We start from the raw sequence: 12,921 nt of genomic DNA, 5'->3' as shown, positions 1-12,921 counted from the left end.
TTTGCCTCCCATAAAAGAGGGATGATCCAGGAGACCTTACAGGTATCTTCAGTCTATTAATTAATGTTGCAGTCGTGCAGCATTAAACCTTGAAGCCATCCCAGGTGTCTCTCTCTTTTTACCCCCACCTTCAGTCATTCCCCAGAACCTATGTTAATTTGGCCTGAATTTTTTCAATAATCTCTTAATTGGTCTCCCTGCTTCTTGGCTTCTCTACAATCCATCTTGTCAGATTTATCTTCCTAAAATAGTGCTTCGATTAAATAACACTCTTGCTCAAACCCTCGGTAGTTTTCCATTAGGACTTAGAAATTAGTGGTTTTCAGTCTGTGTCCAGTGGATCCTTCAAGTGTTTCAAAGCCCTCCAGGGCTGCAGGGATTGCGGAGGGCACAGAGAAAAGGGAGAGAGCTGAGTGGAAAGGGCTCTTGTCCCCCCACACTCCCACACACATTCTAGGCATAGCAATTTCACTTTATCTGCTGTGAGTGTTAGACTTCCATGTCAGGTATCAATTAAATCAGGGGTTCTATTGTTTAAAAAATAGATTTGGCTGGGCGCAGTAGCTCACACCTCTAATCCCAGCACTTTGGGAGGCCGAGGCGGGCAGTTTGCTTCAGTCAGGTCAGGAGTTCAAGACCAGCCTGGCCAACATGGTGAAACCCTGTCTCTACTAAAAATACAAAAATTTGCCAGGCGTCGTGGCGGGTGCCTGTAATCCCAGCTACTCAGGAGGCTGAAGCAGGAGAATCACTGGAAGCCAGGACGTGGAGGTTCCAGTGAGCTGAGATCACGCCACTGCACTCCAGCCTGGGCGATAGAACGAGACTTCATCTGAAAAAAAAAAAAAATAGATTTGACAGCTGCTGGATTTAATAATTGTTAAGACTTCTTTAAAAGTGCAGTGTTCTAGATTAAAATTCAAGTTCCAAAGTGCACAGTCTGATATTTAAGGATTTTAAGAGAGCTTCAAACTACATGAGGATTAAGACATATTTACATATCAGATGGTTCACATTTTAAAAGTTACTTTCTTTTTATCAAATGTATCCATACTAACTTTTTACAAAGGAGGAATGGAAGGGAACTAAGATTCATGGATCACAGGGTATGAGGTGTTTTATGTAAATTATCTGACTTGATGTTCATTTCACAGCAGTATTGTAGATGGGAAGCAGCTGAGATTGAGAGAGGTTAGATAAATAATGGCCCAATAGTTTAAGTGGGTAGTGAGAGAGGGATCTGGGATTCCACCGTGACCTGAGTGCACAGCCCAGATTTCCCTCATTTTGCCTTCTACCCCTCAACTCTGGATGCAGTTCACTCTTTCTTGCCAGATCCCTAGGCAAGCCCCGTTTCTTCTTTGCAACTCTGTTGTGCCCATAATTAGACACTTGTCATACAAAATGATCCAAGTGACCTTTCTGCCTTCTGGTGCTCCTATTTCCCTCCATGGTAAGCAACAGAGACCCCCAAAATTATCCGTAGTGATGAGAAAATACAAATAGCCCCTGACAGTATAAACAAATCCAAGGCTTGTTCGTAAGACAGTTGTTTGGAATGAGTAGGTCTCACCAATAGAAAACCTCCTATGTAGATAGTGGTATGCAGTATCTTCCGTGCACATTTCTTCTAACCGTAAAATTCCAACTGTCACCTGCTGCCACCACATTCTGAGACTCTCAGACCTCCCAGCCCCGAGCTCCCTTTGTGTTCTAAGCTCTTTTAGTATTATTTTATTTCTTGTTCTGTGATCTTCCTGTGGCATTTGTAATATTGCCTGTAGGGTTGTCTTTTTATATTGTTGTGTTCTCTCTCTTCGACTCCTAGGAGTCATAAAGATGTCCTTTCCCTAGTTTGAGCCTCACAACTCCTAACTCCTGGTTGTACACAACCATGTTCGTGACAGGTTAGGAGAAGCCTGTTGACAGGCTAGACGACCTGCAAACGCCTATTTAATCCATAATATATTTGCTTTGATATAATGTGATTTCTGGGTCCTGAGAATAAGGGCCAAGTGATTCAAAAGGGGAGAAAAGAGTGAGATTTCCTCCTCCTCTTCGCCAGATGTCTTGGCCAGGGCAGATTTAAAATGGAAGGTGTTTGTGGTTCCTTCTGTGTCCCTTTATGTCCCCTTAGCTTGAGTCCTGAAGGTCTTCAAGTTATTCTACAGCCACCCCTTACCCTCTGTACAAAGTGACATACCACCACAACGGTTCCCCCCCCCCCCCAGCCACCCTTGGTGTGGCACTGCTGCCTAACGAAGTGAAAAACTTCAGGCTGCTGTGTCCTGGAGGTCATTTACTCCAAATGGTTTCCAATTTTCAGTTTTTTCTTCCTTTACTTATTAGCCTGTAGGTTTTCATTAAAATTATAAGTTATATAAATGTGTATTTTTAACAAAGGTGCTTCTTCAGCAAAAAAATAAATTAGAAAAATTATTATTATATGTGCAGGTGCCATCTGTAAATCAGGGACTGCCAGTAACCCAAACTTGATTTGTAATTTTTTTTACCCCCAACATTCACCATTTTGATCAAGAGTTTGTGATCCATTGATTTAACATATAAGTCAGCCAGATGGGCAATAACATGGTATCATAGTTGATTTGCAAAATAATAGACATTAGCCCATTAAGCTTTTGTCATTGGCAACTGTAGGCCCTAGTTTTGCTCTGAAAGATAGCCCATGCTGAAAATTATATGTACAAATTCCATAATTTGGTCAAGTGTTTACACTGGGTTTTGACCACCGAATTCATTTGAAGCTGGGATATAAGCCAGTTTTGAATATCTCTTCCCATTCTGAACAGTCTTTGGTTTCCATGCCCCAAATATTTACTAATTCCCAAGTATATAAAGTATTAGTGGTTTTAAGGCATTACAAATTAGAATGTAGGAAGTTCAATTTCTCTGCCCTCTTGACGGGGGAGGTACCACCTGAGGCTTCACAGAGAGCATACTTGTCTATACTCCCTCTCCAGCCGTTTATCCTGGACCAGGCTGGAATAAAACTTGTTCTGCCTCTTTGGTGAAACTATTAGTCTGACCAGAGGTACAGGAACTGGAACCACAAAAAAATTCTGGAAAGCACATTTATACTGGCTAGTGGTTTTAAGTACTTTTCGGAAATAATCTTGTATCCTTTAAAACTGACCCATAATTTTCTTTTATGGTTTGTCTAGGTTGGTTTTAGTCTTCTTCACTTGATGTTAATAATTTAAATGTTTCTAAATTAGCCTTGTTTTTATTTTATTTCATTTTATTAATTTATTGAAACCTCAAGACATGAGGGCTTTGTGTTCTTAAGAATGATGTAGATGATAACAATTACAGGTATGACCCTCTTTGAGAAAACTTGAAATTTAATATTCAGACTTACAGGAAACCCAGGGATGGATTTTTGGCTATGAAAGATCTTTGCTTTACAAAAGGATTTAACCCTTATATTCCTTTAAATCAGTGGTCCCCAACCTTTTTGGCACAAGGGACTAGTTTTGTGGAAGACAATTTTTCCATGGACTGGGAGAAGAGGATGGTTTCAGGATGATTCAAGTACATTACATTTATTGTGCACTTTATTATACACAATAAAGTGTATTATATTAAATTAATTAAATTAATACACAATATTAATTTATTATACACAATAAAGTGTATTAAATTAATTAATACAAGTTAATATTACATATTAAATTGTAATATGTAATGAAGTAATTATACAACTCACCATAATGTAGATCAATGGAAGCCCTGAGCTTGTTTTCCTGCAATTAGATGGTCCCATCTGAGGGTGATGGGAGACATTGGCAGATCATCAGGCATTAGATTCTCATTGGGAACACACAACCTAGAACCCTCGCATGCGCAGTTCACAATAGGGTTCACCATCCTATGAGAATCTAGTGCTGCCACTGATCTGACAGAGGCAGGGCTCAGGCAGTAATGCCAGCAATGGGGAGTGGCTATAAATACAGATGAAGCTTCACTCATTCACCTGCCGCTCACCCCCTGCTGTACAGCCCAGTTCCTAACACGCCACAGACCAGAACTGGGGATTGGGGCCCCTGGGGGTTAGAGACCCCTGCTTTAAATAACAAGCATATTGACGATATTATTTGCTTTTCAAAATTTAATTTTATATGATCTCTGTAGAGATATAGTTTACTTGAAGAGAGGTACACCCTCAGCACATGTCAGGCAGTAAAAGTGTTTTGCATTTTGCTTACCTGCCTTCACTGTTTCGTGGTAATATCTCAAAGGCATATGGAGAAGTTAGGTTTTCCTATGCCACAAACTCTTTCCGTAACCCAGAGCTGCGCTGCAGTGTGTCGGATGTCATGACAATTAGACATGATGTAACCCAATAAAAGTGATATAGAAATGCGTCTTACCATGTTGCTTTGAGAAGACACTTTCTGCCAAAAACAACAACAAAATCCTTCTAGAGCTATTGTATCCTATAGGACTAAGAACTTGGAATCAAGGGCCATTTTGAAGTTATAAATAACTAGTACCTTATAAAATCTGTTAGGGCCCTAAGACAAAAGGAAATCTTGATTAATAAGCATTGGATCTAAATGCAAAGTGACTCATTCTTCAAAAATAACAACAACAACAACAAAAACTTATGTCTGACTCTCACAGTTGCAGACTGGAAAATAAGAAAGATCTTTTAGAAATGTAGACTAAATGTTGTTTTAAAATAGATTTACATATTTTCCTAAAATGGCTCGAATTAAGCAGTTTGAAACCAGGGACAACCCAGTCTCTCTTCAGCATAGAGACATGTCTTTATAAATAATAAACTGTCACTGCTAGTGATTTTCTTAGTCTCTCTTTTCCTATGGCACACATGGTTTTAATCACTCGTTCCCACCTTGGGTATGGAATGTGGGACTTCAGCCAAGTGCACTAGCACACAGGGGCAAAAGGTGTGAGACCAGGGATTTCTGACTGAGCACTGTTCCTGTGCAGCGCTCGCAGCTTCCCTTCCGGGGGGCAGAGGTGTGAGTTAATCCTGCCGTAGCCCCAGTGTGAAGTATGGAGCTGCTCGGGCAGGGGAGTGTTGTTACAAGTATTATCTCAGCGATGTGTGTGTGTGTATGTGTTTCTTTGTCCTCAGATGTTCGCCCAGGATACTGTTACACAGCTCTGACAAACGGGCGCTGCTCTAACCAGCTGCCACAGTCCATAACCAAAATGCAGTGCTGCTGTGATGCCGGCCGATGCTGGTCTCCAGGGGTCACTGTCGCCCCTGAGATGTGTCCCATCAGAGCAACCGGTAAGAGCCCTTCCAGTTATCTGCAGAATATCCCATCCCAGCCCTCACAAGCCCAGTGGCAATGTGCATGATGCAGATGTAATGGAAACTTGGGTAAATGAGTAGTCTCCAGGAAATATAAGAGATGACGTCCAGGGAAATTTCCCTAGAAAATGCACAGGAAAAAAAAAGGGGTCTGTACAAAGAGTACTGTTTTCAGGTACTGCTTTTTACTTAGCTGGCTTATTACTACTAAACAGAAACCTTTTGGGGAAGTACTTATTCTCATTTTAGTACTTAATGGCTCTCATGGAGTACTCAAAAGCTCAGTAGAGTAAAACTCAGCTTTCAGAATTTTTCAGGTAAGTTGTTCAGGAGACACATTTCCTTTTTCCTAACATTGGACTCTTTCCTTCCTGCTAAGTCCTGCTTGTTTTTTTTTTCCTTCACAGTATCTCTTTTATCTGTCCATTTTTTTGTTTCTATTAGAAGCGTATTTTCTCTAGTCTGGACTGTTCCAGTAGTCTCCTAACTAGTCTCTGAAATCCACCATTGCCATGTACCTTTCCCAAAGTATGAGTCAGTGAAGTTCAGTTTAAAAAATTGTGTCTAGGGGAGAAAAAGGAGACACCTTTTGACTAATTGAGCCTATTTCAAAACACCATGTTGTACACAATGAATGCATACAATTTTTATTCATTAGTTTAAAAATACATAACTAAACAAATACATAAATACAGCACACTTTCGTTAGTCGAGAAAGATGTCCAAAAATATTTCCCCAGGATGAACTCAGGCAATATTTAGTGGCCAATTCACTCCATTTCTTGCAAAGAACATTTGCTACTTAGCACAGTATTTAGAGTCCCAAATCTAATCCCAGTTCATCTTTTTAATTCTTGTTCTTTATAGTAGTTTAAATTATATGATTGAGTTTTCATTGCACCCAATCCGAGCATTTCTGAATTCAAGTTGGCTTTTTTTTCTAAAACTTCTTGCCAGTTCAGGCTCTTTCTCCCTACTCCTGCCATCCTTGCCTGTTATATATCCTCTTTTCTTGTTAAGGATCTGCTCAAACATGACCTAATCCATGAATATCCCGAGGTACCTGCAGCTGGAAGTGCTCCCTTCTTCCTTGTGCTCCTGTGGTTCTGGCTGGTACTATCACTATGGCATGAGTGCCATATGTGTGTTCACATCTTGCTCTTTTACTGGTTGATCAATCTCATTAGGAAATCTCATTCATTATTGTAGTCTCATATTTCTCATGCTTTTTACACTTCCATAGTATTTAGCAAAATCTTGCTTATAGGAGGCATTCAAATACAGAGAGCAACTTATTAGGCAACATCTTTCCCACCAATTGAGCATATTTCAAAACATCACGTTGTGCACAATGAATATATACAATTTTTACTTGTCAATTAAAATACTAATACATAAATAAACAAATACATAGATGAAGTTTACCTTCCTGAGTCCAGTAGGGGACCATTTAGTAGATCACTGTTTAGAAGCACATGACTTCCTACTAAGACATGGCTTAGGTACCAGGAGAATGGCTTTTAAAATGCATATGTTAACTTAGGAATCAGCAGCTTTGATGTGGATTCCTTCCTGTGTTGAGGCTTTGAATAGAGAAGAGGACTAGAGCAGGTTTAGGTGCCTGCAGGAAGACCTACTTTGGGACAGTTGGAGCAGAAGACCAGGTTCCTGTGTGTGGCTTTACAGGGAGCTGTCCTCCCAGGTATACCACTGAGAGATGCACAGCCCTCAGAGGCCTTGGGCAAAACAGATTTATAGAGCAAAATAACTTGCAGGTAGGTTTTTGTTTGTCCAAATGTTCCAGTACTGGTGCTACAGAGATCTGGGCTCTTACAGAGAGTGATGCAGGAAGGATTTTAGATTGGCCAGCTTTTCACTCTTTAAAAAATAAATCAGCATCATCTTGGGTTAAGTGGAGATAGGAAAGATGGACATCAGCTTAACAAAATTAGCCCCACGTTGCTGATCCTGAATGTAAAGGGGCAATGAGAAGATTACTAAATCTGTAAAAAATAGGAAGAAATATCAGATTCAGTCTGATACAGTTTCCTAGAGAGGTTAAGATGAATTTAATGGCATTCTTAAAGTAAAATACCCACCTAATTAGCAGAAATGCTGATAAGCTATTAAATTTCTTTTATATAAATTCAAAAAGTCTTAAAAAGAAAGGCCGAATTGGTACCTACAAATGCTTGGAAGCAAAGTGAGTTCCTTAATGTAACTGTCATTTAATAAAATTAACACATAGTTAATGAATTCCTGTTATGTGCAATTTGCAGGGCAAGGCTGAGAGTGGGAACTAGTCATGAGTTAGAGATGATCCCTGACTTCACAGACTACACAGTCTTAGTGGTGGGAATTTGGTGAGAGCAGGTTCCCAGGGAATGGTGGATATGGCACGTACAGATGATAAATCTATAGGAAGAATCACTGTTGGTTGACAAACAGGATTGAGACATCTTGAGTCAGGGAAGCATGAACAACATAGAATTCCTTTACAAATACATTCAAGTACGTCAGTATCTCTGTAATTTGAAATTCCAGTGAAATCGTAATTAAAATGCTGTAAGAGAATTATCTGAAAACATAAACTTGACCTGAGATGGAAATGTCAAATATGAATGAAGAAATTTTAGAAATGGACCAGAAAGTACCAACAGTACTTTCCTATTTAACCTCATGTAAATTGGCAGAATGTCCCGTGAGGTTGAAATATGAATGCATTTCAGTAAGACCTATTACTGTCTGAAAATAAGTTAAATTTTAGTCTGTAAGGAAAAGAAAAATATTAGTCTAATTTCTATTAATGGCTGAAACTAGCATAGAAGGTATCCATGAGAAAATCACTGTACAACTGTGAAAATAAAATTACCAAAATCCTAGCAAAAGAGGAAAAAAATGAAATTTAAAAGTCACATAGGTTACTTATAGAAGGGAACTATGAAAAAACATGGCTATTTGTAGGCAACATGAAAATAAATAAAATAAATACATCCTTGGAAACCTGGATACTGCTTAAAAACACCTTTTTGGAAGCCCAGAACAAATGTGTGGAAACCTAAAGATGATTTATTTGATAAAGACCTGACACTGTGAAAAATAGTAATCATCCTAAAAATGTAGAATCATAGGGAAGCAGATGATGAAGTCAGGATGTCCTCATTCAGAGGGTCACTATGCAGCATTCATACCCGACCCACACCCCTTGGTGTTTCTCCTCCCTTATGGGCCACTTCTCCATTGATATTGCTTTCTTTTACGAATCAGTATTCTTCAGGGTTCTGTCTTTGCACTCCCTTCTCTTCCCCTTCCACACCACTCTTACATGAGCTCATCCATCCCCATGGCTTTGAGTATCACCTCTCTGTACTGATGACTCTGAAACTCACGTCTAGCCTTGATTCGTCTAAGCTTCACACTGTCTTTTACAACTGCGAAGTGATAGCTCCACTTGGATGTCTGATATCTCAAAACTCCTATGTTCAAAATGGAACTTGGTTTCTACCCACCAAATCTGCTATCACCATGATTTTTCCCGTCCAGGCAAGGGCACCAACATTCACCCAATTGCTCAACCAGAAAACTAGGAGTCATTCTTGACTTCTTGTGTCCTGAGCTCTGACACTTACTACTTCACTGAGCACTATACATTTATCTCAAAAATCTACTTCACTGAACACTACACATTTATCTCTAAAATGTGCTTCAGATTTGTCCACTTCTGTCCGATTCAATCACTGACTCCCCCATCCGGACATCATCATCTCCCCCTTGGTCTTCTGCAACAGCCTTGCCTCCCCGCAGTAATGTTCTTCATATGTTGTAATTGTAAGCATGATCTTCTGAAAATGGTCATCTGATCATGTCCCACCCCCGTTGAAGACATCCAGTGGTTTTGCACTGCGCATAAAATAAAATTCAAATTTTTTAATGTATTCTGTAGAGCCCTGTGGAATCCACAGGTGGGACTGGATGGAGAAAGTAGTACTTTTATGTTTTCCATGAGGTGAATTTTGATACAGATAAAGACTCTGAGGTTTTGGGAGGAACATGGTTTTGGATTTGAATTATTGTTCCAGAGTGGTTGCTGCTGCAGGTATTAAAAATGGGAATCCAGTCAGTTGGTTCTTTTTCTTTTCTCCAGTTGACCTGTGAATTTTGAGGATCAATTTTATTCAAAAATATCTTTAAAAAAATAAGGATGACTTCTGTGGGCCTATGATCATAAGCTACAGCTCAGCTGTTGTGTTTTGTTTTGTTGTGTTTTTCTAGAGGATTTCAACAAGCTGTGCTCTGTTCCTATGGTAATTCCTGGGAGACCAGAATATCCTCCCCCACCCCTTGGCCCCATTCCTCCAGTTCTCCCTGTTCCTCCTGGCTTTCCTCCTGGACCTCAAATTCCGGTCCCTCGACCACCAGTGGAATATCTGTATCCATCTCGGGAGCCACCAAGTAAGAATTCAAAAATCATCTAGTTATTTTTCTTGCATTGTTCAAGTTAACATTTTTTTATTATTTATTTATGCTACTTTAGTCATTAAATAAGTTTGTAAATTGTTATATTAATTTTTGGTTTACATAATGTTATCTATATCTATATCATATGTATGTCTCAATTTTCCTATTGCATAGAGAAAAACGGGAGGCTTCCTATTCTCCAGAGATTAATGTCCTTTTGTTATTGGTGTTTTCAGGCAACTATGGGAGAGTTATGGGCGATAGTTAAATCTGATTCACAGAAAGGATTAATAGAGGAGGTATAATATTAGACTTTAGGTTACAGAGCTTGCAAGGCAGTTTTATAAGTAGTTCAATACCAATATCTCTCTGCCTTTGTTATTTCTGCAAACTAGAGGTTTGAGAGTGAGGTGGTGAAGAGGGCAGAGAAAAGCAGGCTGCAGCTGGGTTGTGAGCTCCCCAGTGCTCACAGTGCAATGTGATCTCTGTTGGCAGGGTGGAAATATGCTCTGTTGTCACCAGACGACCTTTGCCCAAAGAGTATCCTCTTTCCTTTCTGATTCAACATCTTGTTCATTATTGTCAGATTAAGTACTGATGAAAGATACCATAGTTAAAATAATTTTAATGGGGCTTAATGTTCTTCTAGGGGTGCTGCCAGTAAACGTTACTGATTACTGCCAGTTGGTCCGCTATCTCTGTCAAAATGGACGCTGCATTCCAACTCCTGGGAGTTACCGGTGTGAGTGCAACAAAGGGTTCCAGCTGGACCTCCGTGGGGAGTGTATTGGTACGTGATCCATCCTAGGTTGGCACCAAGGGTCTGTTGTAATTCTGTTCCTTGACTCTACTGGTTTTCTATTGCTGCTGTAACAACTTACCCCAAACTTGGTGGCTTAATACAATACAAATTTAAATTATCTTTCAGCTCTGTAGGTTAGTAGTCCAACAGAAGTCTTACTGGGCTAACATCCAGGTGTTGGGAGGGCTGTCTTCCTTTTGGTGGCTCTTGGGAGGAATCCATCTCTTTGCCTTTTTCAGCTACTAGCAGCTGCCTGTGTCCTTAGCTCATGACCCCTTCCTCCATTTTCAAAGCCAGCAGTGTTGCATCTTCAAATCTCTTTGTCTCTCTCTGGCTCTCTCTTGCAATTCCCTCTTCCACATTTAAGGATATTTGTGACTGCATTTGGCCACCTGTATAATCCAGGAGACTCTCCATCTCAAGATCACTGATTAGCTACCTTAATTCCATCTACAACTTTAATTCTCCTTTGCTAGCTAAACATATCCATAGGTTCTGGGAATTAAGACATGAGCATATTTGGGAGGTCATTATTCTGCCTATTAAAGTTACTTTTAACTTTCATTGTAAAAGATACTCAAATCATTTCTGGTAACTCCAATTTAAGACACCCTACCAAAAGCCCTACCATTAAAAGAAAGCGTTAAAAATATCCCCAAATTATGGAATTTTGCACATTATACTAGTCTAAATGTGTAGCTTACCAACTCTCTTAGACTAGTTATTTTAAATGGAAGAAAGAAAGTTTAAATTGCTGATGAGGCATTTAAGCTGGTGAAGGGAGGAAATGTAATGAAAGAATAATCAATTTTTGGATTGGATAAGAACACTCAGCTCCTATCAACTTGTTTTTAAAATAAGTTCACCTCTTAGTTCTGTTATGAATTCTACTTTTATAATTATAAATTTATGATTTGTCAGAAATGATGAGTTCTTACTTTCCCAAACTATTTAATTTCCTGATGATATGAACACCCCTTCTAGAGGTCATCCAGAGCTGAGTAGAAGTGGGAACATCTAACTCAGGGTTGCGGAATGTGAGGTCAAATCTGTATCTGGCACTAAGAAGCATGTGGACAAGTGGGTTATCTTTGCTAAATTTTAGCTTCCTCTTGTTTACAAGTAGGGTCATATAAACCAGTTTATCTCTAAATGTACTGATAATTCTAAGTGACTGTAAAACTAGTGTGAGCCTGTGTATTGAACACATCTGGGGATGGGGGAGACTCTGTGGTGATTGAGAACTGCCCTTTAAACAACAGTTGCTTCATGTTTTGTTCTAACATTTTAGTGGAACTCAGCAGGGAATGCTTGGATATGGTTAGACCTTCTTTTTATTGGAAAAAAACAGAGCTTCAAGAGATACTCGGAATCCTATCCAGAAGCCACTTCTGAAATGTTAGTCTGTTTGGTCCTCTTAGATCAGACTCAAGGAAGAAAAAATGTTTATTAGATCAGATTGTTGAGTTGCTACATGTTTGGAATTTTTCTCTGCAAAATGACACATGAAAATAATACACTTTAACTGCTCAACCAGTCTTCAAATGGCTAATGACATATTGTAGTGGAAAGAAAAAAGATCCTTTTATTATGTTATTTATTTCTCAAAAGGAAAATGTTTTATATGTATAAAAGGAACCCAGAAAGTCTTAGAATTATGAGGTATTGCTATGTAATTTTGCACTAAAATACATTGTGCTTTGCAGATGTTGATGAATGTGAGAAAAACCCCTGTGCTGGTGGTGAGTGTATTAACAACCAGGGTTCGTACACCTGTCAGTGCCGAGCTGGATATCAGAGCACACTCACGCGGACAGAATGCCGAGGTATGGTCCTGGCTCCTGACGTGGAATGTGGGACATATATGCTAACTGGGGGTTGGCTTCAAAGGAGTTCCATGGAGTTTAAATAACCCATGCCGGAAGAGACTAATACAGTCCCGTGGCTTTTTTGAACTTAGTTCCACCTATTGTCATTCTGAAAGACAGTGTCATAAAATCTGGCAAGCATTGAAGTTATTTTATAAGATGCGTCTATGCCTGAAGGAAAATCTTATTTTCAGTATTGTTGTCTCGTCACTATTATTGCCTCTTAAGTTTTCATCTGAGAAGTAGAGAGTGGAATTGTCCTTTATGACACAGCAACTGAGGAAAATTTCAGTTGAAATTATGTGCAATTAATTTCTTAATGGAAAGTTCTAAAAGATAGGGATGTCACTCTAAGCCCTTGCTGCTTTTTAGTGTGGTCAGCAACAGCATCTCCTAGAGCTGCTTGGAAAGGCAGAATCTCAGGTTCCACCACAGACATACTATTGCAGAATCTATATTTTAACAAGATCCCCCAGCAATCTGTATGT

The 12,921-nt window shown here is 39.4% G+C and overlaps 1 protein-coding gene across 2 annotated transcripts in view, besides 1 other annotated feature; it reads left to right on the top strand.

Annotated features, from left to right (window-relative positions):
* Positions 1-12,921, top strand: part of FBN1 (fibrillin 1) — a 237,397-nt gene that overhangs the window by 119,770 nt on the left and 104,706 nt on the right. For both annotated transcript variants that reach the window (NM_000138.5, NM_001406716.1), the window contains 4 exons: positions 5,123-5,281; positions 9,578-9,757; positions 10,413-10,553; positions 12,272-12,391. In NM_000138.5, the coding sequence (NP_000129.3) occupies positions 5,123-5,281; positions 9,578-9,757; positions 10,413-10,553; positions 12,272-12,391 (600 nt within the window). The remainder of the gene's footprint in view (positions 1-5,122; positions 5,282-9,577; positions 9,758-10,412; positions 10,554-12,271; positions 12,392-12,921) is intronic.
* Positions 5,114-5,408: a silencer, noted in NCBI's record as "tiled region #9539; HepG2 Repressive non-DNase unmatched - State 12:CtcfO, and K562 Repressive non-DNase unmatched - State 13:Ctcf". NCBI's record gives its function as "represses a minimal TATA promoter and a strong SV40 promoter by Sharpr-MPRA in HepG2 and K562 cells {active_cell/tissue: HepG2 | K562}" and the evidence as "EXISTENCE:reporter gene assay evidence [ECO:0000049][PMID:27701403]".

The sequence above is a fragment of the Homo sapiens genome, chromosome 15, assembly GCF_000001405.40.
Source record: "Homo sapiens chromosome 15, GRCh38.p14 Primary Assembly".
NCBI classification, from domain to species: Eukaryota; Metazoa; Chordata; class Mammalia; order Primates; family Hominidae; genus Homo; species Homo sapiens.
The sequence above is the reverse complement of the archived record's forward strand: the minus strand, read 5'-3'. Positions and strand labels throughout refer to the sequence as shown.